General features: G+C 41.7%; 1 protein-coding gene across 13 annotated transcripts in view, besides 1 other annotated feature; it reads right to left on the bottom strand.

The window, feature by feature from the left end:
* The window catches only part of CHN2 (chimerin 2), a 367738-nt gene that overhangs the window by 128135 nt on the left and 214021 nt on the right, over nucleotides 1-25582 (bottom strand). For 11 of the 13 annotated variants that reach the window (XM_011515105.3, XM_011515106.3, NM_001398427.1 and 8 more), the window contains one exon: nucleotides 18207-18262. The exons of 1 other annotated variant lie outside the window; for it this stretch is intronic. Coding sequence is in view for 6 of the 12 variants with exons in the window: in XM_017011722.2 (XP_016867211.1) it covers nucleotides 18207-18262 (56 nt within the window). In the remaining 6 variants the exon portion in view is untranslated. Of the gene's footprint in view, nucleotides 1-9734; nucleotides 9801-18206; nucleotides 18263-25582 lie in introns of those variants that run through there. One more of the 13 variants, XM_047419842.1, reaches the window with a different exon arrangement.
* Nucleotides 11197-11703: an enhancer, noted in NCBI's record as "H3K4me1 hESC enhancer chr7:29414107-29414613 (GRCh37/hg19 assembly coordinates)". NCBI's record gives its function as "activates a minimal SCP1, AML or CMV promoter by ChIP-STARR-seq in primed H9 embryonic stem cells {active_cell/tissue: H9 hESC(primed)}" and the evidence as "EXISTENCE:reporter gene assay evidence [ECO:0000049][PMID:30033119]".

Below are 25582 nucleotides of genomic sequence, written 5' to 3'. Positions count from 1 at the left end.
GTCAAAGTGCAGAGCATAGAATGAAAATTGAGCAGACTCTAAAATCTCCCATTTCTTTCCATTTAGAATCTAAGGCCTAATTTTTTCCTCATGGCATTTCTTTAACACTTCTGGAAATCGAATAGGGCACTGATGAGGTGAATTCCTTCCTGTATTGATTAGAATGTACTATAAATGTCCACTGGTCAGTCTTTCTGTAATAAATCTCCTTAAAAGGTGACCAATTGCTTTGCTAAGTTCTGTACATACACACAAGTTGGATACTTTAGCAACCTGATCAAAACATTCTGTGAACTTACAGATGCAAACAAGTAGATCAGCTTAGGGGTGCTCGAGACAAAAGCAGTTCCCAATCATTTGGTTTATTTTCTGGCTTCACTTCTGCCCCCAAAATTTTCCAGAAATTATGATTATCAGTGATAATATTAGAGCAAACAAACATAAAATATTTTCTTTAGGCCAGTGGTTCTCAACTGGGAGGGGAGGTGATTCTGCTCCTCAAGGGACATTTGTCAAAGTCTGAGGAAATCTCGTCACATTGTTCTCTGCTCAAAATTCCCCACTGGTTCCCCAGTGCCACGTGGTCAAACCTACACAACTCAGCGGGACCTTCCCAGATCCCCCTACTTAAAAGTGGGACCTCCTGTCCTTAGCATACCAGGTCCCTCTTCTTTGGCTTATTTTTTGCCTCATGACAGTTTTGACTGTCAGGACTCGGGGGAGGGTATTCCTGGCCTCTAGTGGGTAGAATCCAGGATGTTAATAAACATCACACAGTACATGTGACAACCCCCTACAACAAACAATTATCCCCCTAAAAGGTCAATAGTGCCAAGGTCAATAAACCCTGCTTTAGACTGGAAGAACTTTGAATTGTTAAGTATTCCCAAGGAAGAATATTAGAAACATTTTTTTTAACCAAAAATGCAAATAAGCAACAAAAACTTTAAATACATTAAGTAAAATGGAGTAAAAGGAAGGCAGAAGGAAATATTTGCTTTTGATAATGCTGATAATTTATAAAGGTAGCTTTTAAGAAAAAACAGTACTGGTGAGAGACCTCCAACTACTTAAGGAAATATATCAGATGAATACAAAATGGAACAGACTAAAATGTCAGTAAGATTAATAAGGGAACCTCCTCCCTCCCTGGAAAAATTTTAAACGAGGTTAAACTACAAAAAACACTAAAGAAGAAATTTATTTCTTGGGAGTGATCAGCCATGCTATGCATACATGTGAATTAATGTTTGAATTCCTTACTGCTATGGGACTCCACACCTCACAGCATGTAGCTTTGAAATTTTGCCCTGATTGCTGGGTTGGAAACAAAACTTCCACCACTCACAGCTTTCCCAGGTCACAGAAGATTTCTCAGGAAGGAGTGGCTAAAGCACTGTCTAATGGCTGTCCAGTACGGGGCTCAGAGAAGTCATGTTTTCTCAGGGTTCATTACATAAGCACTACACACAATAAGTATTAATATCATAACAGAGGAAGGCAAATTGACAAAATTATTTATATTTATATTTTAAAAGTAATGCAAGGGCAACTACACCCAGACACACTCATACAAATACCCATGACTCGTGCATTGAGCCCTTTTGCTACTGGTTCTGATCTTCACCCAGTTCAGTCCTATTGACCTTGACCCAGAACTCCACTAAGGGGAGGGCCAGGAGGAGCAGAGGAGGAGCCAACATTTAACAAGTGCCTTCAGTGTGGGTATTTCAGGTCTCCCAACAAGCAAGTCACATGGAGACTGTCATTCCCATTTTGCAGTCGGGAAAAAGAAGGCCTGTATGGTTAACATTACTTGAAGATCATGCAGAGGCAGGGAGATGAGATCCAAACCAAGGTCTAATTGACTCCAAAGCCCATAATCTTTTCCTACACCAAAAGGAAGGGAAATTGCTCAAGGATAACAGATATAATGTACTTATAGAGAACACTGACTCTGCTGTTACAGATGGGTTGATATGAAAATTGTTAAAACCCTAAAACATGGCCATTCTGGAGACCTGGGTAGACTGATTAGTACTCATCACACTCATCACACCTAATGGCTCAGCCTCCTTTGCTCTTCACCCCTGTGAATGCTACCATCCAGCGTATCACCCACTCAATGCCCAAGCTAGAAATCATAATCTCTGACTCCTCCCTCTTCCCAACCCCACTTGCAATCTGCCACGAAGTCTTCTTCATTGTATGCAATTCCTTAATTGCTCTTAAAACGGTCCCTTTCTCTCCAAGTCCACTGGGCTATCTACTCATCTAGACTACGAAAGTAGTCTCTTTACTGGTCTCCCTATATCCTTTTATCACCTTCCAATCTGTCATTCACACTTAAGTCAGAAAATGCAAGTCTTGTCACATTGCTCTCAGCTTAGAATTCTTCACTGTTTCCCCACTGCTGCATGGTCAAACATACACAACTCAGTCGGACCTTCCCAGACCACCCTCCTTAAAAGTGGTAACTCCCCTCCTTGGCATACTCCATCCTTCTTTTCTGGAATATTTTTTCCCCATGACATTTATCATCATCTGATATACTATATATTTTACTTATGTGTTATGATGATCAATTTTATGTGTCAACTTGTGGGGGCCACGGGATTCCCAGATATCTGACAAACATTATTTCTGGTTGTGTCTGGGACGGTGTTTCTCCAAGAGATTAGCCTTTGACTCAATGACTGAGTAAAGAAGATGGCCCTCCCCAGTGTGTGTCAGTACTATCCTGTCCATTGAGGGCCTGAATAAAACAAAGAGGCAGAGGAAGGTTGTATTCATGCTCCCTCTTCCTGACTGCTAGAGCAGGAACACCGATCTTCTCCTGCCCTTGGTATTCTTGGTTCTTAGACCTTCAGACCCAGACTGGAATCAACACCATCAGCTCGAGAGCTCTCAGGCCTTCCAACTACACCACCTGCAACACACACATACGCACACACACACATACACACACATACAATTGGTTCTATTTCTCTGAAGAACTCTGATGAATACATTTTTTTGCCAATATCTTCCATTCAAATGGAAACTATATAAGGGCAAAGATTACTGTGCTTTGCTTACTGCTATATCTCTAGAGTCTAAAACAGTCCTGGCCCTTCCCAAGGGCTCAATACGTATTTACTGGATGAACACATGAATAGCATCTAGGATCTTCCCTGGATGGTCCTTGCTTGTGTGTCCAGAATATGTTCTTACTGACACACATGCTCTTGCCCCACGACATCCTCACCCCTCAGTTCTTCATGTTCCTCATACATAGCTTCTGTAGTTTCTGAAGCACACCCTCGGCTGCTCATACTTCTAGGATATTATTTGGTGGGGTTATGTCCTCTGCCTGGAATTCTAATATTTGTTCTTCAGTCTCTCTATGCCTTAGCCTGGCAAAATCTCACTGATTTAATTTAAAAGTAAGAGCTGAAATGCTGCCATCCTGGGGAAGTCTCCTGCCTCTGAACTTTATAAAAGGCCTGAGTTAGGGCCGTGGCGATCTTACTGGGATTGGGATTGTTGGCTTTTATGAGCTCTCAATGTGAGCTCCTTGAGGGAAGGGCTCCTGTTTCTTCACCTCTGCTGTCCCAGCATATTGCTCACGGTGTTCACAGAGCTCAGCCTCATGGCATAACACAATAAGTGAAAGGCAGGTTTGCTTATGCTCCCAGATCCCTTTCTGGGGCTCACTGAAATTTCAAAAGGGGTATCCATGGAAAGACTGGCATTGGTGGTAGCTCACACCTTGATGCTTTATGCTTCCAAGCTACGGGACAAAACTTGTTCCCCTGTCTGCTTTCTGAATCTCCAGAGTGAAGACTGAAGACCACAGGCAACAACTGTGACTTCGAGCCAGTGATTCTGCTAATCGAAGTCCCTCACATTCTTTAGAGGGTGAACATGTGAACCAACATAAGCCACCCAGATGCTCTGCCCCTGGAATTTGAGACTTGAGTAGAAACCATTAAATGAAACTGTTAAGAGTTGATTCACATGCATGGCAGAGCCTAATAACAACAATAATCATTAATAGTTATTGAGAACTTATGTACCAGGCATTGTTCTAAGCACTTTCTTTACATATATCAACCCTGTCGATCCTCATGATTACCCAAGAGGTAAGATCAGTTATATCCATTTCCAGAGGACTAACTGAGGCACAGAGAAGCAAGGTGCAAAGGGCAGGTTGGACTACCCTGGAACTCTGACGCTAACCATCACCTCTTATTGCCCAAGGTCTGTCAGTCTTGCTTCAAATCCTTTCTCAAGCCCTCTGACCAGCTTTTCTTTCCATCCAGGGAATTTCCTCATATCCTTCTAACCACAATTGGTCCGCCCTCCTAGGCCCTGCTTTTTTTTTTTTTTTTTTTTTTTTTTTGCTTAGTTTAGTGAGAATAGACTTTTATTGCTTACAATAGAATTCTAAGTGATATTTCCATTAAATCAAAATCTCCAGGGCTGGAGCCAGGGTGTCTGTAAGGTTTGCCAGGCTCCACAGGTGATTCTGACTCACACCCAGGACTGAGAACTATGACTTTGGGCAGCAGTTCCAAAACCCTGAGAGAATAAATATTATCCTAGAAGCTTAGGACACCTTGGCAGCACCTTCCCATTGATTTTGATCCATTCTCACAGTGGGCTTCCAGGAACACCCAAAAGCCCAGCCATGAGTGGCACTCCTCTATCCAGCCCTTCTTCCCAGCAGCTCACTTTCACCCACTCTTCTTTGCTACATCTTCTTTGGCACCGTGATTCCTTGGCTCCATATGTTGGCTCTCAAAATCTGCCTTAGGCCCTCCTTGTTTGGACAACCCAATTAGGCATACTTTTCTGGCACGAGCCTGGCACTCTGTTGGCTAGAGTTTTTTGTACTCATCTTTGGCATCCTGGAGCCACAGGTCCAGGTGAAATGAATGTTTTCTCCCATCAAGCCAGATCCCCAGGAGGCCATGTTGGCTGGGCTGGCTGGCTGACCTCCCAACCAGGGCCAGAGAATCAAACATGATGGGCTGACTTGTCCACACTTCTGATCGACCAAACAGGGATTTTACTTTAAAATAAGAAATACTGTAAAGGAGACTCAAAATCCAGAATTTAATCATGAAGATAAATGTTATCTTCACATCTAATCTTATGTTCCTCCAGCTTCCAATTATGCATCTTCCTTTCTTTTGGTCTTCAGTGCAAATGAGAATCTGAGAATATTCTCTACAGAATAAGGCTTCCATTATTAAAAGCCATCTCTGTGCCACTAGATCGCCTGTTCTTCCTCAAACTAAATAATCCTTGTGCCTTTGACCTTTTCTAATAGGTCCCAATTTCCAATCCTTAATTCATCTTCATTATTCTCCTCCAAACTCTCTTTAAATTCTCCACATACCTTTTAAGCCCAAAGAGCTTGAAGTACCCAACAGAACTGAATCAAATCAAGGGAAAACTCATGCTGCTGTTAAATTTCTAGAGGAAAAAAGATTGGGTGAGTATACTCATTTAATTCCTCACTCTTGTTAGTAAATTCCTTCCATCAAAGCTTAATGGTATTTGGGTTAAGTGGTACTATACGTACTTTGGAAAAGGCAAAGTGTCTATCATTCTTAGTTTTCTCCCAGAAGTTACTTTTTTCTCTCTCTCCTAGAAATGTAAGAGTATTAAGTATTCAAAGTGATGGATAAAATTAATCTACCTAAAGAAAAAGAAAGGAGAACAGAATCTGGGAGATGGTAGAAATTCAAGGCTTGTCTGTTTTTGCATTATAGCTCCCTAAGGAGCCTTTTTAGACAGGTTTTCTCTCAAGCACCTCCCCACAAAGGAATTTTAATATTACATATAGACTGTATATCTGTTTATGTTCTATATAGGTATTTGTGCTTTATACATATAAATAGTAAGGGTTTTTTTTTTGGTAAGAACCAAATTTCTCCACTTTAGGGGTGATATTGCCCCCTTTGAGAACTCATTGTTCACTGATAACGTCATGACCTTCAGAATGCTTTTACATATATTCTCCCACCAGGAGGGTGGAATTGTATCTTTGCCTTCTTCTTATAGACAAGGAAGCTGCAGTTCAGAGTGATTAACTAATTTGCCCACAGTCCTGCCCAGGGATAGCAGCAGATTCAGAGTTAAAACCCAATTCCTGATATCAGGGCCAGCACTCATTGCTCTATATTGTAATGATTACATAAAATCCAGAAGCCTGTTCTCTATTAATTTTTTTTTTACAAATTACCTACTTTAGCATTTCTGAAGCAAGCACTCCTCCCAAAATAATTCCCAACATGGTAATAAATAAAAGAGTAGAAGTGCCTTATTAATGCTTGTCCTTGCTTTCAACTATGCTTTTTCAGAAAAGTTCTCTATTCCACATTAAAAATTCTTGAGCATGGCTTATAGTGTTTTCGACAGCTCTCATGCCAAGTCATCCTCCCACCTGTCAGGGCTGTGCACCCAAGAGAATGTCTTTGTTCCATGGGCCAGAGCACATCCTGCCACTCTTCTCACACAGTCTTCATTTTTTCTTCTTGACGTTTTATAATGAAAATTTTCATACATACAGAAAAGTTGAAAGACTTTTACAGTAAACACCCATATACACATCATCTAGGTTCTACAGCATTTTTACTATTCTTGCTTTACAGCATATATATTTTTTCATTCCTCTATCCATCCATCAATCCAACTTTTAAAAAATAGACTTCAGAGTTAACTGCAGATGTAGCACTCTTTCCTCAAAGGCATTGGCATACAAATTATTAATCAGAATTCAAGAACATATAGGAGGCTAACACCAGCTTTGTTCCTGAAATTTAAGTCAGTTTAGCTTCCATGTTCAGATGTTGCTACCAAATAAACAGATCCCACGCACCCCTTTAACTTCCTGCTGATGGAGTGCTGTGCCACCTTTGCTAACAGGCTTCCATCTCTTGAAGTGGAGAAAGTGACCATCAGAAAGAAGGTCAAAGAACACCTGCGTCTTGTAACTGCTTTGGCCTCTTTCATTAATTTATGCATGTTAAACATGAAGGCCAAGTCATCTCTCAACATGGCTTGGGATCAAATTCATCCTAAATTCCAAGGCTGAAACTCCTTTTTTTTCCACTAACATTTATGTAGTACTTGGGAGATGGTAGAAATTAAAGACCAATGCTTCTGATAAATAAATGTCAGGCACTGTTCTAAGTGCTTTATGTATATTAACCCACTCTTTTTCTTTTTCTTTCTTTCGAGACGGAGTCTCGCTCTGTCTCCAGGCTGGAGTGCAGTGGTGCGATCTCGGCTCACTGCAACCTCCGCCTCCTGGGTTCAAGCGATTCTCCTGCCTCAGCCTCCTGAGTAGCTGGTACTACAGGCATGTGCCACCACACCCAGCTAATTTTTCATATTTTCAATAAAGATGGGGTTTCCCCATGTTGGCCAGAATGGTCTCGATCTCCTAACCTCGTGATCTGCCTGCCTCGGCCTCCCAAAGTGCTGGGATTACAGGCATGAGCCACCGCGCGTGGCCTAACTCACTCTTTAAAGTTACTTTTAGTGTAAGACCAGGGGTCGGCAAACTTTTTTCTAGCAAGGGCTATAAAGTAAATATCTTAGGTTTGGGATCATATAGTTTCTGTCTCAAGTACTCAGCTCTGCCATGGTAGCATGAAAGCAGCCACAGATAATATATAACAGAATGAGTACTGCTGCGTTCTAATAAAACTTTATTTACCAAAACAGTCTCCAGGATATAGCTGACCAACGCCTATGCTAGACGAAAAAGCATGAGAGTCCATTCTCCAAAAACCAGTTTCAGGACCTCTTATTCTTAGCTCAAAACACAGAGCTTGCCAATGCCTCAAAGGCCTTTTTATTTAATGGTGGGTCAAATCATTCCTTGTTCATGCTCTTTCATCTTTTAATGCACTGGGAGGAGAGAATCATTAATTTTTAAGCTACGGCATACTGATGCCAACTTAAGAAATCACAATGAACTGAGGTAGAAAATGGCTGAATTACATTTTTAAGCAACTGAGACTAATGAAACACTAAGGAGTCTGAGCTGCATCCTTGACTTGAAAGGTGTTGATGAAACATCATTAAGCCTGGTCTTTGAGAAGCCATGGAACCCTGAGAACCATGACAGAGCAAAAGGACAACCAGAGTAGTGTAATTACAGACTTGGTAGAAATACCCAGGGAGATCCAAGAACATTCATCAAACAATCGATGTGTAATTACCTAGAAGGACGCAAGGTGCTGGATGGCAACCAAATATGCCTTTGTTGGGCTGTGCCAAGGCTATTTAATTTCTTTCCACAGAAGATGAGGAAATGACACTGGCCATGTAAATAAGGAGAAAGAAAAAGATACTATCGTTGAAGCAGAGCTTGCTTTTCCGTCCAACAAGACAGAGACATGGTGTACTTAGAACTAATGTCAAGTGAGACTGTGATTTGCTAAAGGACATAGCCAAAGAAGATTATTACCAATGGCTCAGTCAGCATCAGCCAGATGCCAGGCGAGTGGTAGACTGAGGCAAGGAGGTGGGCCTTGCCCAAACCACCTGCTCTGGACTGGCTTTTATTAGCAAATTCGTTATCTAAAATCCTGAATTGAGAAATGCTCATTAAGCACACAGAGGATGGACTGAGTGAAGAAACTAGCATCTTGGAAAACAAATGCAATTAAAGCATTTCTGACATACGATAATGAATTTAGTATTTTCATTAAGGCAAGAGGACATTAAAACCAGAAGGAAATCTAGCAAGGATTCATGCATAGCCACAGATAAGGAAAACACCTAAAAGATCCCAAAAGAGCTGGAATTCATAATAGTATATGCTGAATATGAATGAACATGAATCATCATATTAAGACTGAATTTGAGGCGGGGCGTGGTCGCTCACGCCTGTGATCCCAGCATTCTGGGAGGCTGAGGCAGATGGATCACCTGATGTAAGGAGTTTGAGACCAGCCTGGCCAACATGGTGAAACCCCGTCTCTACTAAAAATACAAAAATTAGCCAGGCATGGTGGCAGATGCCTGTAATCCCAGCTACTAGGGAGGCTGAGGCAGGGGGCTTGAAACTGGGAGGCGGAAGTTGCAGTGAGCCGAGATCATGCTACTACACTCCAGCCTGGGCAACAGAGTGAGACTCTGTCTCAAATAAACAAACAAAATAAAACAAACAAGCAAACAAAAAAACCTGAATTTGAAATAGCTTTGTTAATTAGTAACACAAACATAACATTAGAAGTATAATACCAGAAAATGGAGGGTAGAGGGAGGAGATCAGGCTTAATCAAGTACTGACCCCACCCTTACAAGCAGGATTCACATTTGGTCTCTGCAACATAAAAGAGTACAGGAAAGTTAGAAATAGCAAAGAAGAAAGACAAAATATTTTTAAAGGGTGGAAAATAACATCTGGGAGGAAGTACATCTGGGAAAAATAAGGAAGGCTATGGGTGCCTACACTGAAATCCGTGAATAGTCTAGCACAAGTGCTGAGCAAATAGCAAGCATTACCAGGAGGCAAAAGCATCTTGAGTCTTCTATCCTAAGGGATTAGGGAGGAAGGATGAAATAGAAAGCAGAGAGAAGCAAGAACAGTCCTTAGAACAGTAGTTCTCACACCCAAGGCGGCATCAGAATCCCCTGAAGAGCTCGCTAAAACACAGATTGCTGGGCCCCATCTCCAGGGTTTGTAATTCAGGTGTGGGATGGGCCACAGAACCTGCATTTCTCACCTGTTCCCAGCTGATGCTGGGATCACACTCCGTGACTCACTGGATTAGAAGCCCAGCCATTGATATGAACTATCTGGGTTGGAATCTGGCCTTTGCCCCTCTTGTGCTTCCTGTCTCATTTCCTCCTGTGTAAAGTGAGAGGGATAACAAGCCCCATGGGATTGTGGTGGGCGTAGCATCCATAAAACTCTGAAGCCGGTGCTCAGGGCACAGGAAGTACTCCATATGTGATAGCTGTCATTTCTATTAAAAGACTGACAACAAGTAAATAATTAGGTAATATCATTCAGCATAGTCATATTAAAATTGAGGCTGTCTGAGATTGCATCATCCACATTTTTTCCAATGGAAAGCAGAATCAAGGTCAGAAATCTACGTCCAAGCCTCTCAGTGCTTGGTTGGACAGGCCACACGCCAGTAGGAGACATGGCTTATCTGGAGCAAAGTATAACCTGCCTTTATCAGCATTATTTCTCAGTTACAGTTTAACCAGGTGAGCAAAATGTGAAGCATGTCTTTAAATCCTCACTATAGCTCCAGCATTATGCACCTGCTCCTTTTCCTGGATAACCCTGGTTACACCCCAAAACTTGTGGGGCCTGACCTCTGAGTCACAGAGCAGACTTAATATGGGGCTGCTGTAGGTAGCAACTCCTATGGAGGTGTGACATTTGCTCTGTGTTTGGATGAGTAAGGTTGGTGTTACAAAAGCCAGTACCTCCGCATAACAATTGTGTCTCAGTTTGGATCCACACTCTCACTACCACCACCACCTGAGATCAATGAGTAATGGGATCTTGGGTTCCAGCTGTCATAGGCTAGAGGAGGATGGCAGAACACATGTTGTAACACACGATGCTATCAGTTCTTTTTTTCTAAAACAATGAACAATACCACATAGTATTCCAACTCTACTAATTAAGGGAATATACCTTTTCAAGTGAGATGTTAAGAAATAAAAATCAGCCAGGTGCGGTGGCTCACGCCCGTAATCCCAGCACTTTGGGAGGCCGAGGCGGGTGGATCACTTGAGGTCAGGAGTTCAAGATCAGTCCAGCCAACATGGTGAAACCCTGTCTCTACTAAAAATACAAAAATTAGCTGGGCGTGGTGGGCACCTGTAATCCCAGCTACTCGGGAGGCTGAGGCAGGAGAATGGCTTGAACCCAGGAGGTGGAGGTTGCAGTGAGCCAAGATCATGCCATTGCACTCCAGCCTGGGCCACAGAGCAAGACTCCGTCAAAAAAAAAAAAAAAAAAAAAAAAAAAAGGGCCGAGCACGGTGGCTCATGCTTGTAATCCCAGCATTTTGGGAGGCTGAGGCGGGTGGATCACCTGAGGTCAGGAGTTCAAGACCCGCCTGACCAATATGGAGAAACCCCATCTCTACTAAAAATACAAAAAATTTAGCTGGGTGTGGTGGCACATGCCTGTAATCCCAGCTACTAGGGAGGCTGAGGCAGAAGAATCGCTTGAACCTGGGAGGCGGAGGTTGCGGTGAGCCAAGATCGCGCCATTGCACTCCAGCCTGGGCCAACGAGAGCGAAACTCCGTCAAAAAAAAAAAAGAAAGAGAGAAAGGGAGAAAGGGAGAAAGGGAGGGAGGGAGGCAGGAAGGAAGGAAGGAAGGAAGGAAGGAAGGAAGGAAGGAAGGAAGGAAATAAAGAAATAAAAATCACCCAGAGAGATTGAAGAATCTTCTCCGGAAACTTTGCCTATTATCAATCACTGTTTAATTTCCCATTTACTTTCCTCATTCTACTTTTGCCTCATCTTATGTCTTGGCATATGTACTGTTCTCTGGTGGCCCTCTCCAGCTCACCTCACCTGCTCCCCTTGGCTCTGAACTCCATAACAGCTTGGTCTCAACAGCCCTTACCCAAGCGCTTATGACCTCACCTTGGAAATGTCTAAATATGTTCTAGGTGCATACTTGCGGGGATCTGTATTATTTTAGAAGAAGTTCAAAGTATTCCAAAGAGAGTGAATTTGGAGGCAGGGGGAGTATGCACTTTGGTAGATCACAGTACTTGTCAATAAAAAAGAAAGTTTTTTGTTTTTAAAAAAAAAGCAGAAAACATTTGGTTCTATCTTTAGGGAAAAAAATTCATATGTCAAAATTTTATTTCTAACATTGGTGTTACTAGATTTTTCCCCTGTACTACATCAGGTCTAAACCCAAAGCAAGTCCAGTTCAGAAGAAAACTGCATCAAGAAAAAGGCCTGACAGCATCAGTGAGTGAGATGACAGCGTGGAGGAATAATGATGGGAAAGTCCTTCATTCTTGATTGTGTCGGCATTAAGGGGGAAAAAAAGAGACAAGCAGAGAAAGTCTAGGATGAAAAGAAAAGGAATAGTTTTTCTGCAAGGGAAGAAATAGCCTTCTGATTACTACACATAAAGCCAATTAAAAGGTAATGAGATTGATTTTTGTTTGTGGCTTGTAGAATCAATCTCATTACTTTAAGACATACCTTGTCGAGATGTCTTAAATCAGTAGAGTTTTCACGTTCCCCCAAATGCACTTTGTTTTAAAACATTTATTTCAATAAATAAAAGAAGAAAAGGGGGAGAACTGTGGAATGGTAGAAAATCCCTTAGAGTTCATTTAAAATCTGTGATTCAAAATGTACTGAGTTAGTTGAAAATGATATGGTCAATCAATATGGCCTGTTAAGATCTTCCAGACGTGCCTAAGACAAGATAAATGTCCTCGAGCTACAAGATTGTGAAGTCTAGATATGATTAATACAATTTTAAAAAGCATAATGAAGAAATGGAATGCTTTCGAAGGTTTACAGGAACAGTTTTTAGAAATAAAGATAGAAAAGAGTAAAATCAGTAGATATTTAGAACACCAAAAACTAGGGAAAACTGCATAAAAGAGGGTAGGAATACTTAAGCAGTGTTTAAAAAATGAATACAATTCACTGGAAGGTAAAATAAGGTAGTGAGATACTACTCCAACTTAAGATTGGCCACTGCCGGCCGGGCGTGGTGGCTGATGCCCATAATCCCAGCACTTTGGAAGGCTGAGGCAGGCAGATCACCTGAGGTTGGGAATTCAAGACCAGCCTGGCCAATATGGTAAAAGCCTGTGTCTACTTAAAAAAAAAATGAGCCAGGTGCAGTGGGGTACACCTGTAATCCCTGCCACTCAGGAGGCTGAGGCAGGAGAATCGCTTGAATTTGGGAAGCAGAGATTGCGGTGAGTCAAGATAGCGCCACTGCACTCCAGCTCGGGGGCGACAAAGCAAGACTCCACCTCAGAAAAAAAAAAAAGATTGGCCACTGCCATCAGTACTTGGTCTAACTTCTGACCATCAAGAAAAAAGCTGATTCTGATCATGAATGCTAGAAATCTCTACCATCCATTTTTGCATTAAAAAAGTTTTCCAAAATAGACTATTCCACAGCAAGAAGGAAATGAAGCTATATAAAATGGAGAACAACTTGAAATAATAGTATGCCATTGTATTTCCCTTTTTTGAAATTGCTTTTTATAATCCCATATTCACTATAGCGATTTCAAAAAAGACAAATGACACCAAATCATTTACAGTCACAAAAGAACTTCTGCTTATTTAGTGTAGGCTTGAGGTAATTTTAGGGCAACTTGACTTTCAATGAGTCACACAAGTAAATCTTGCCATTTTGGCCTTTTGGAGAGGCCAAGAAGAAACTTGGATTAGTCCAGGAAAAAATTTTAGTCTGTGTTTAAGTTAGTACCTTAACAACTGCCAAAAGTCTAGCTCACTATCCTAATAACAGCATTGAGTAAATCTGATATGCTATTAGTAATAGTTTGAGAATCCCAAATTCCTTATGCTAGCAATCGCTATCCTTTTTTTTCATCATTTTGAAACTTACTGATTTATTTACTGATTCCCCACTGTTGCTTGGCTATGCTCACTGCTAAGGATATATCTATGATTAAGACTGATGAAGTCTCTGGAGGTTGTATTCTCCTGGAGAGGCATATACAAGCAACAATCAAATATGTTAAGAAAGTGTATCAGAGAGTATATAAAGTGCCACAGATACAATAAACAAGGCAATATGACAGAGACGCTCCAAGGGTTGGGGAGGTGCTACTTTTTTATGGAGTTTAGGAAGGGCCTCTTATTACGTGAAATTTGACCTGAAACCTAGACGTGCAGAGAACCTGGGTCTGAGAATTTCAGGCAAAGGGCAAGTGCAAAGGCCCAGTGATAGTGACAGTGCTTTTTTCTTTTTCTTTCTTTCTTTTTTTTTAATGAATGGGAATAGAATCTAGTGGGGCTAAAAGGCAGTGCACTTGGAGAAGAATGGTACAGACAGGGCAGTGACAGACACAGGAGGCAAACTATGGCTCATAGGCACGGCAAGAAATTTGTTACTAAGAGTAACAGAAAGCTATTGAAGGGTCTAATTTATATTTAACGATGATGATTTGGGCTCCTGTCTGGTGACTGGAGTGTGTATGTGTGTGTGTATATGTGAGCTGCAGGGAAGCTGCAAGGAGTGGAAGCAGGGAGATCAGGTGGGAGGCTCTTTACCTGCAATGAAATCCAGGCAAGAAATGACAATGGCCCAAACCACACAACATTCATGGGGATAGAGTACAGTGGACAATGCGAGATATATTTGGAGATAGACTTGATGCTAAGAATGGAGGAGAAAGGGGTGAGGGTAGGGAAGGGAGAAGTACAGGTTTCTGAAGTTAGGTGTCATCCAATGGAGCGGGGCCTAGTTCTATTCTGAACATGAGGCTGGTGGTGGCCTGTGAGACAGGTGGTGGCCTGAGGAGGTCCAGTGGACAGGTGGATAGAGGTGTCTGGAGCCCCGGGTAGAGGTCTTGGCTAGAGAAACAAATTTGAGAGTCAACATTCCACACAGTTTGTGACAGACAACCCAGGCACACATTTGGTAACTAATAAATGCTTATGATGTGACTGACTGATAGTTGATGGAAAAAGCAGTGAGAATTCTGCATATGGGAAGATGTTTTGCATCTGTCGGCATGGAGTGTTCAGGAAGTGCCAGCAGAGCATCAGGTGCTGCGGCTGCCCAATAAATATTAATTTGCAGTAGTAAAGCTTCAAGAAAGCAATGAACTGTTATTTCACGACCTGATCCTGCCTGGCTTAATTGGCGCCAGAGCTGTTGTTCAGCTGCTTGTACCTTCTGTTCCTCATCCTCAGTATCTTTTTTCCTGGTTGCTTAATTCCGGACCTGGGCATCTTGCTTTCTTCTTGATCACTGCCTCTTACCCTTACATTCAGAGAATACTGTCATCACTTCGACTCTGTCCTTAATGACCAGTTCAGAGCCTGTTCTTCACAGGTTTCTGACTCTGCCATGAATCATGAACATTAACTGAGTACCCATTATGCAGCAGGCACTGTATTGGACACTTGACCCACATATGCCATTTATAGCAACCCTGCAAAGTAGATGCTTATCTGTAGGTTAGGCCTTAATCTCCCTGAGAGAGTAAGTGGTTGGCTCTGTGTTAGGTAGCTAGAAAGTGGTGGAGCAAGAAGTCAAAACAAGTCCAAGCTGACTTTGCAGCTGAGCTCCCTGCTTTCCTGGATTTGCTAAGTATGTGGGTTTTGCCTGCTGAATCAGTCTGTACCCTTGACTCACCCAGCTCTGCAGCAAAGTCTACTAAGTAGTTGGTATCTGTTGATAACCACCATGTATCAAGGCAGACTGGCCTACGTCTATACCTTAGAGGGACACTGTTCCACATCTCTCTAATTGCACACTTTGCTTGGTGCTCTAATGTGGGTATTTATCACGTTGAACTGGCAGGTCCTAATCTGGGAGAGGCCCATGGCCCGGGAAAGTATGAGTCATCAGAGAAACAACAGAGATTGAGTATACTGGAGCTACCACGCTAGGGACCAGGGAAGAGTAGCTGGGAAGAGATAGATTGAAGACCAAGAAAAAGGGCCCAGAGCTGCGTAGAAGAGGAAGATGCGGGCTCTTAGCTAACGGATGAGATGTAATAGGAAAACGTACGTAGAAAAAATTATAACTCATTGTTTAAAATAAACAGCCTTTACTGCTTTATGTAAATATGTAAATAAAGCTTCAATCTCCCTGGCCACAAACTCACACAGAAAGGCTTTCTGTCTTCATTAGGCATGTCTCCCAAGCATGCAAGTGTGTTACAAGACAACAAGACGTATGACTAAGCACCGTCTGTAGTAGGGGAAAACTGTTTCACCATCATGCAAGAGAAAGTGGCGCCTTCACTTGCAGGAGGCCAACTCCTGGGAGGCTTGGGAATTTAGGCAGGAACTATCTGCAGTTAACATCACACTGGAGGACCAACTAGAGAACAAAGGGAACTGAAGCTACTCCTGCAGACACTCATCTGAGCAGCACCTGTTCTTCCAGCAAACTTGACCTGTTACTATCTGACACCTGCCTGGCTAGATGGGCCCCATGCTGCCTGCTGAGGAAAGGGAGCTGATGAATCTCCATTTCACGTTAGGTTTCGTGGCAGAAATGGGATATGGAATTCTAGAGGAAAGCAAGCATCAACCAATGTCACTTACTAATATATCAAATTGGTAAGGTCAAAAGGTGAAGAGCATGGTTTAACAGTCAGACAAGGGGGAAACAAGAGACATGGGCACCATATTCTTTAGTCACAGCAGATGGTGATGGCACTGCAACAGCAAACAGACATGCAGTGGACCCTCAGCCCGCTGGATGGTTGAAGAGTTTCAGTGGAACTCTAGGAAGAGTTTGTAAGAGGATAATCCGAATCGCCTACCTCCACTGCTAACACTCCACCTGCCTTAAGGGCAACTGACATGGTTCCAAGGATTTTGAGAAACCGAGAGGTTTTTTCTCTCTATCTCTCTCTTTTTCTGTCTCTTTCACACGCACATACATATACAGGGACAAAATCTTAAATATATATTTAATTACATCATACTTTTGTTGTCTTTTATTATGATATTCAAAATGCCAATAGCCAAGTTCTTTGCTATATTCCCCACAACAAGGCCAGAGCTGAAATACAGTAGGCTCTCCATATATATTTACAGAATAAACAGATAAATGAATGACTATTTACTATCTGTTTGCATTTCAAGTTCTGGTGCCTGATCTTGCCCAGTGTCTTTTTATTAATGCCCCTAGATAGAGTCTTTAGTTGTATTCTAATTTTACAAAGTTTTTTTTCATTGAGACATTTAAACTCCTCTACCTCCTTACACATGGCAATAATTTTTCTGATGGAGAAACACTCAGTAAAAAGCAGGAGTGAAGGAAATTTTAGCAACTTGTGTCTTAATTCACACTGAGAACACCCTTATTTAGTGCATCTCATTCAAAAATTTATATTTACCTATTTTCTCTCATTTGAAAAAATATTGAATATCATTGGATTTGATTATTGAATAACAAATAACATATTATTGAATATATTATTTGAATATATTGACCGCAGAGTTAGTGACAGGACAAGATCAGAGTACCAAATAAATGGAACTCATCCTGGATTTTTCCTTAAGCACCAGATATTTCCTCCTCTCCAGCCACATGCCTAGGATGAGAAAGTCTACTGTGTACTAAAATTGAGATGACTTGATAAATTTCATTGCCCTTCAACAGATGTAAAATTTTATGTAGAAAAATGTATTAAACCATGATAACTTGGCTCTGAGTATGGGTATGCAGGTACCTAAGTCTTTGAAACAGGTTCAAAACCAGATCCAAAAAGTACTAATGTTCAAGAGTGAATCTCAAGAGTGTTGGAATTGGAGCCTTTCCCCCTTGATAAGGCATGCATGGCACTTTAAAAGCTATCCGTGGCTCTATATTTAATCCCATTAATAGCAAAAGTAAGCAAGGACCCATGGGCCTTTGATTTGAAGGATATTAAGTATGCTATTAAAGAAACTGATCAGAATAAAAAGAAAATAGAGCCTTAGTCCTGCCTTTCAAATCTTGCTGGCATCCCACACAATCAGAGAACTGATTAGTGAACTAAGGAAAGTTAGAATTAAAACCTCATCACTTTTTTGTAAGGCTTTATTATTTTAAAATGTCATATAAATATGACAAAGCATAAAGATTTACTAAATATGGGCGTTGAAAGTACCCAGAAGTTTATTATTCCCTGTACTTTCTCTACTGTAAGCATTTCATAATAAAAAATGCTAAAAGAATCAAAAGGATATTAACAAAGAAAACATCCAGAATACACATTTTTTGGTGTTTACAAAGGTTGTTTAATTTGTCTCGGCAATGGTTAAAAATATGAGACATCTGAGTCCAAGTTGGTTTGTTAGTATTTTTTAAATAATGTCTGATGTCAAAATATAGATTATGAAGATGTTAAATTTTTTGACACTCCAACAAATGTTAATAGAAATCAACTCCCAGGAAACCTGAAATCCCTCCACTCTCTACATAGTGCTGACAATTCATCATATTTAACAAGGTGTATTGGAAATAGCTGAGCACTGACCTCCCGAGGACAAATGATTCTCTTGGGACGAGGTGCCTCTTGCTGTAACTGATATACTGCCAAAAAAGAGAGAGAGAGAGAGAGAAATAATTAGAATTAGAATACTGCAACACATATCAACGTGCCTTCAAATATTTCCACCTAAGTACATCTCAAGGATTGTAAATATAAAAAAACAAGAGAATACAGGCACATTTTTTAGACTGGAAAAAGTCAGATTATTTATATGGAAATTAGTCACTGTGAATATAAACTTGCAAAATTGATTTTTTTATTCTTATAAGGCCAATTTAGTTTCATAATTGTTACTGGCATTGTTCATTTTATGGCTTTCGTGGAAGACTAAATATGGCTAAAATTCTTTTGACTATTTTAAAGATGAAATTCTACTTGTGAGTACCTGAGTAGTAAGATCATATAATAGGATTCCTGAATTTAAATGCCGATGTCTCTTGACATACCAGGAAAAGAACTGGCATTTTAAGAGGAGTGTGATTCTCTGAGATGTTAGTTATGGACAAAGACATAACTGATTCTGTGAGTGAATGAAACACCAAGCCATTTCTCTCTCTTTTCTCCCTCCATTTTCCCCCTGTCTATCACACTGCAAATTCACATCCATTTGATGACTTCCCATCCATTGTCATTCCTCTTTCCTAGGCCCTTTCTCATCTTAAATAATAATAACTCCTTCCTAACCTAATTTAAAGACAGACTTTCAGGCTTAGGCAAGGAGGAAGGCAGGTCATTGTATATAAAGCAATCTATCAGACAATTATTTGTGATTTTTCGGAACATAATGAGTGATTTTTCTGCTGCTCAGCTAGTCTGTTTATTTCTGCTAAAGGGAAAAGCTATCCTAAGCAGGTACCTTTGGATTCTACTTCTGTGAAAATACAGGTTGAAAAAAAAAGTTGATGTTCTCTTCAGAATCCTGAAGAGGAAATAATTAATTTTAAATGGAATAAATCTACAAAAAGTTAAAAAGACTAGATCTGATAAAGTCTTTCTAGAAAATGTAATAAGATAAGCAAAACTTTCTGATCTATTTTTAGGTCTAAAAATAAAAAATGTAATTGAAGGGTAGTGATCATATGGAAACACAGATAAAAATGATGGAATATATTTTGTAACTATGGCTCCCCAATGTCTTTGGCTGAATGTGGTTATTTTCTTACCTAATTAGTGTAGACTACCTGGTTTTAGCACAGAGAAGGAGCTATCTAACCCTTTATACATTTTGAAATGTACCACATTTCTAAGTATAGGTCACCCACACTAATGTGTCACCTAAAGATGACTGTAGTCATCTGTGAAAGGAAAACAGAGTTCACCACAACCCTTTAGCTCAGAAGGACACTAAAAATGACAGATAAAAAGAAGGCTTCTACACACCTGCCTCCCTGTAGAGGAAGAGCCTTCAGATCCCAATGAACCAATACATGGAAAGTGGGACTAGTGGGAGGAAAGATGAATGGCCTTGCACATAAGATCATCAACCAATTGGCACCTACTGTTCACCTTGTGCTATCTCTTTCCATTGGCTTCCATGGCACCACCCTCCTGGTCTTCACCCTTTGATCCTGGCTGCCTTTTTCCTATGCATGTTGCTGCGCCTCCTCCTTCTCTTCTACCTGTCCACTGACCATAGGAGAGGCCCAAGGCTTACCTTAGGCCCTCTTCAGGTCGCATTCTCTTTCTTCTCCCTAGGGAATCTCCTCCACCCCTAACGCTTCATTTATCTCCTACACACAAAGGCTCCCACATCTCTGCTCAGAACCCTCCTCTAAGCTCCAGGATGTATATCTTACTTCCTACAGATTCCTCCTGATTTTCTCAAAAGAAAAGGGACCTCAACTTCAACATGTCAAAAGTTGAACTCAGGATCTTTTCCTCCAAATCTAGGCTTCTGGGAATTCTGAGATCAGTGAAGGAGCCATTATTCATCCTATTTCTCTAGACACCAGCATCCTAGAAGTTGTTCATCACACCTCAGATGGTCAGTTCATCGACAGACCTGTCACGTTTGCTTTGTAACATCTCCAAAGTGTGTCGACTCCTCTTCATCACTATCATTAACACCCTACTCCAAGTTCTGGACTCTTCCCACCCTGCAGCCTGTTTTTTCCCTGGTGGCTAGAGTGACTGTTTTAAAATATCAATCAGACCATGTCACTCCCCTGCTTAAAAGCCTTACATGGCCTCACATTGCTCTCAGAGGAAGATCAAATGCCCTAAATGCTTTTGCCTGTCTCCTTCTACAGTGTTACCATGTGTCATGCTCTCTGCTCAGCCAAGTTGGTTTCCTCCCCTTTCCCTAAATACACAGTGTTCCCTTCAACCTCAGGGCCTTTGCGTATGCTATTCCTTCTGTCTATGACATCTTCCTCTCCTCCTTCTCTACCTCTTGTTATCTGCCCCTTATCATCATGTCCTTAGTTCAAATATCAACTTCATGAAGGAGTCTTTCTTGACATCTCTCACACCAGATCCAAAGACATCACCCTAGTCTATGCTCTTACAATCCCCTGTACTTTCCTTTATATAACTTATCAACAACTATAGTTCTGTATTTATTGATGTGAGTTCCAAAAACAATGATTTCTCCCTGCATGTTGTAAGTCCTGCCACGAAGGAAGGGATCATGCTTGTTTTTGCTTTGTCTTGTATCTCCAGGTTTTGCTGAGGTGCTATGGATATAAATATAAATAAAACCACAGCCTCTACTTTCAAGAACCCTATCAGCTTTAGTGAGAGGCCCAAATGTTTTTATGAAATAGTACAGTAAGTACAGGGCTGGCAGGGATCATCTTTTCAAGGCTTGGTTTACCAATCTCTGTTAGAAGGAAATAGTTAAATTAACTATGGTACGTCTTCCGATGGATACCATGCCCCTGTAATGAGGACTGAGAAAGCTCTCTATGCACTGACCTGGAACAATACTCTTGACATTCTGTTAAGCAAAAAGAGCACTGTAAAATACACAGACACACACACAACCAAAAATACATAGAGTACACATTCATTTTAAGAAAGGGAGTAAAATAATAATGCATATTCAGTTTTGTTTACATCTGTATAAAGAAACTCTAGAAGGAACAAGGAAGTAATAAAAGCATTTACCTTCAGGGAATAAAAAGAAAGACAAGGACAGGAATGGGACAAAGATTCCTCAATGTATACTTTATGTTGTTTTGAGTTTTGAATCATATGTATTGCTTATTCAAAAGAAAAAGAAAAAGCTATAAGAGATAAAGTCAGAGAAGGCTTCTTTTAATACGTGAGGAAGAGTTGGCCAAAGACAGAGAAACAGTTGTAGACATTCCTCTGGCTACCCCAGTATAGCTCGTGCCCTCCTTAATCACCAGGGAGGCTGCATGGAATTCCTTTATTCCTCTGGAATCACCCCCAAAACTACTAAGCTGCTTTTTAGCAGGATGTTACTGTTAATGAGCATGCAATGGCCATCTCCTAAAATCACAGAGGAATTGCAGAATTCACATTCAGAGAATCCTGCCCACTCTTCTCTTCCCATTGTCAATGCCTCTTGAAGCCAACAGTGATATATGGTTGAAATGGCTTTGTGAATACCATTGTTAATGGAGGTGGCAAAGGATGCATACCTGTTATAAAAGAGAAGCATTTTTAGCTAAGTGCTCTTTTGCAATTCTTACAAGCAAATATGTGAGCATCTGCTATATGCAAGATACCACAGTCAGCATTATGTGGAGGCTTTGAGGATGAATGGAGAGTCTGGGAGAAGAGAAGGGCACCAGCATACCAAGTGCCTGCCATGTGTCAGGAATAACATGTATTGAATCTTCTTAAGAAACCAGAAAAAATAACTTTGTGTCATTATCATTCTGGATAGGGATGAGGAAACAGTGCAGAGAAGTTAAATATTTGCTCCAGGACATAGAGCTAACATACAGCCTTTTGATTCCAAAGCCCCTGGTCTGTTTGTTGGTTTAATTTTTTTAAGAGATGGGGGTCTCACTATGTTGCCCAGGCTGGAATCAAACTCCTGGGTTCAAACAATCCTCTTGTCCCCACCTCCCAAGTAGCTGCGAATACAGGCGGGTGCCATCAACCCTGCTTCCCTGGTTTATATCTCCCATGCCTCAGGGCTTTTGCAGTTACTGTTCCTTCTACCTGGATTACTCATTCCCAAGATATCCACATGGCTCGCTCTCTCCCTTCATTCAAGTATCTGCTTAAACCTCACCTTATCAGGGAGGCCTTCCCTGACTTGCCTGTATAAAATTCCACCCTATCCCTCTGTTCTCTTATATAGTTTTAAGTTTCTTCACAGCACTCATCATCATTAACACAATTAATAAACAAGAAATAAATATTATGTTTATTTATTTTGTGTACCATCTCCCTTGATTAAAATGTAAGCTCTTTGAGGGCAGGGATGTTGTTCTGTGCACTGCAGAATCCCCAGCAACTAGAACTGTGCTTGGCACATAGTAGATGGTGGTGGTGGTGGTGGTGGTGTTTGAGATGGAGGCTTGCTCTGTTGCCCAGGCTAGAGTGCAGTGGCACAATCTCGGCTCACTGCAACCTCCACCTCCTGGATTCAAGCAATTCTCCTGCTTCAGCCTCCCGAGTAGCTGGGACTACAGGCACGCATCACCATGCCTGGCTAATTTTTGTATTTTTGTAGAGACAGGCTTTCACCATATTGGTCAGGCTGGTCTCGAACTCCTGACCTCAAGTGATCCACCTGCTTCGGCCTCCCAAAGCACTGGGATTAGAGGCGTGAGCCACCACGCTCAGCCTTGTAGTACATGTTTAATGCATATGTGTCCCTTTATTCCTCTTGAATCAGCCCAATACTACTAAGCTGCTTTTTAGCAGAATGTTACTGACAGTGTGTGTGTAACAGGAGTCAAAGGGGCCATCTCCTAGAATCACAGAGTTCCAGATCTAAGAAGGACTATAGAATCCACAGCGAGAGAATCCTGTTCACTTTTCTCTTCCCATTATTAATGCCTCTTGAAACCAACAGTGATATATGGGAAGTGTGGCTCAAGTGGCTTTGTGAACACATTTTTAATTATTTGGTGAATGAACAGACTGTATCTAATGGCCCATGGGTCACAATCTGTGCCTTCGAGGAGATGCCAGTGATGGGGGACATGCATGGAGACACAAAACCAAGGTGGGCCAAGTACTTTAATAGGGGAAGAGGAGGAAGCTATTCAATGTACTCAAGTGGTCAGAACAACTTCCCAAGGGAAGAGGCAGGGAGCTCTCCTGAAGGATTAGAAGGGTTCTGCAGGTAGAGAAGAGAGAGAGTTACAGATAGAGGAAAGAGGAACTGCAGGGAAAGGAAATGATGAGCTGACTGGTCAGCAAGAGGCCAGTGTGGCTGCTGAGCCAGGGCGTGGGATGTGTGAGAAGGCCATGTGGGGCTGGACCTTGAATGACATGCTGGGGACCGTGACTGTCCTCCTGTCTGTAACAAAGGGACAGTCACATGTTTGAGCAGGAGCCATGATCTACTCTGTTTTAAAATATTGGTAATAGGGATAAGGTTATTCAGAAGAAGAAATGCTGCCCTTTTCTGGGCACAGACCATGTGCCAGGCATATTATATGCATCTTCTCACTTCATCTTCCCAAAAAGCTTCCAAGGTAACTGTTATTCCCCTCACTAATAAGGTAGCGGGGTTGCCTGCCAGCTTTGAAGATGCTCAAGGTCACACAGATCAGAGGATGAAATGAAGATTCATTGCCTTGATTTCCAAAACCCAAAGGCTGTAGTTTTCAGCCTCAGCCAGTGGTTGCCTAACTAGATGGTGGAGAGGTCCCATGAGGAGCTGCTCACATTAGAAACTCCTAGGAGTTATAAAATAATACAGATTCCTAGACTCCATCTCTGGCATTGCTTACTCTCCCAGTCCGGCCAGGGGCCCCCAGATCTGTTCTTTTTAAAGCTCTTCAAGAGACTCATGCATATCCAGGAGTAGGAGCCACTGTCCTTTGCCTTGCTGAAAGAGGGATCAGACATGGGGAACACTGGAGACAAGGAAGCAAGAGAGAACAGTGTTTTACTGGTACACAGATGAGGTTGTGAAAGTGTGAGTTAAGATAACACTGGTGCAAATGCAAATGAGAAGGTGAGTTGATGGCCTCAGAGATTCAAAAGAGAATCAACAAGACTGGTTTACAAAGAGACCCTGAGCGGCTGAGAGATTGAGATGCTACTATACAAATAAAGGATGCAGGTGATGGAACATTTCTGGACAGTTCCTCTCCTATGTCAACAGGCTAAATCCCATAGCTGCATTCTCTAGGAACCCTCTGAGCTTTAGCAAAGAAAAATTTGGTAATTCACCAATCTCACAACCAACAAAGAACAATCCCCAGCCAGGGGCGACTTGGAGGAGGGAAGGGGAAGGCAAACCCCAGAAGCGAGGAACTGCCACCTCTCTCTCCTGGCCCCTCGGCAGTAGACATCATTATTTGATGACTTATTTCTCAATGAGCAGGTCTCAGAATCTGCAAAACCCTGTTCTATGCTGTTCCAAACAACAGAAGTTGGCAAGTAGGCACAGAAGCCTATTTGCCATCTGGGTTACCTGGCTGGCTATAAAGATAATGAGATGACAATCAATTACCACGGCAACCATATAAAAATAAGGCCCAATCTCCTCTCTTAGCTTCAAATGAGAGCCTGCCCATCATTTTCAAGGTTAGCTATAGCATCCATGAAAAAAATCTCTGAGGCAGAGTTGAATATAACAGAAATTTATCGCATAATCTGAAAACGTTGCTTCTTGAATTTTCCTTGTTCAACAAACACATTTCACAAGTCACATGCAATAATGTATGTCAATTCTTGGGTGGTCTGTGAGCTGAGAGGTGACGTGATGGAATTACTTCTGCAGCAATGTCCCAAATATGTGCCAGGAATTCCCAGCCCCGGGCCCTCTGCCGCACACCAGAGAATTCTTAGCACCAGAGTAAGCTGTTTGGCAGGGGTGGCAGCCACTGGGGAACACGGAGGTGGAGCTCCCTAACTCCCCAAGAAACCCAAAGCAGATTAAGAAATTGTGAGCTCACTGACAGACTGTTTTACTTTTTCTTCAGTAAGAAAACTTGACTCACTCTGGGAACAGAATCAGACGGCTAATGGGTGAAAGCCCACAGCCTGGGTGGCCTTGAAGCCCAGGCCAGCCCCATCAGCTCCTAAGAGATCCTGCAGGGATGGCTTCTAACAGTCTACTTCTTTCTAAGGAGGGTATATGGACCCAGGAGCTGAACCCAGGCACTTGGCCATGACGCTGAGCCAGTATGACCCTGCTCACTGCTCATGTCTTCCCGATTTTCATGGGAAAACCTTATAAGCAGGGAATTGTAGGTGCT

The sequence above is a fragment of the Homo sapiens genome, chromosome 7, assembly GCF_000001405.40.
Source record: "Homo sapiens chromosome 7, GRCh38.p14 Primary Assembly".
NCBI classification, from domain to species: Eukaryota; Metazoa; Chordata; class Mammalia; order Primates; family Hominidae; genus Homo; species Homo sapiens.
The sequence above is the reverse complement of the archived record's forward strand: the minus strand, read 5'-3'. Positions and strand labels throughout refer to the sequence as shown.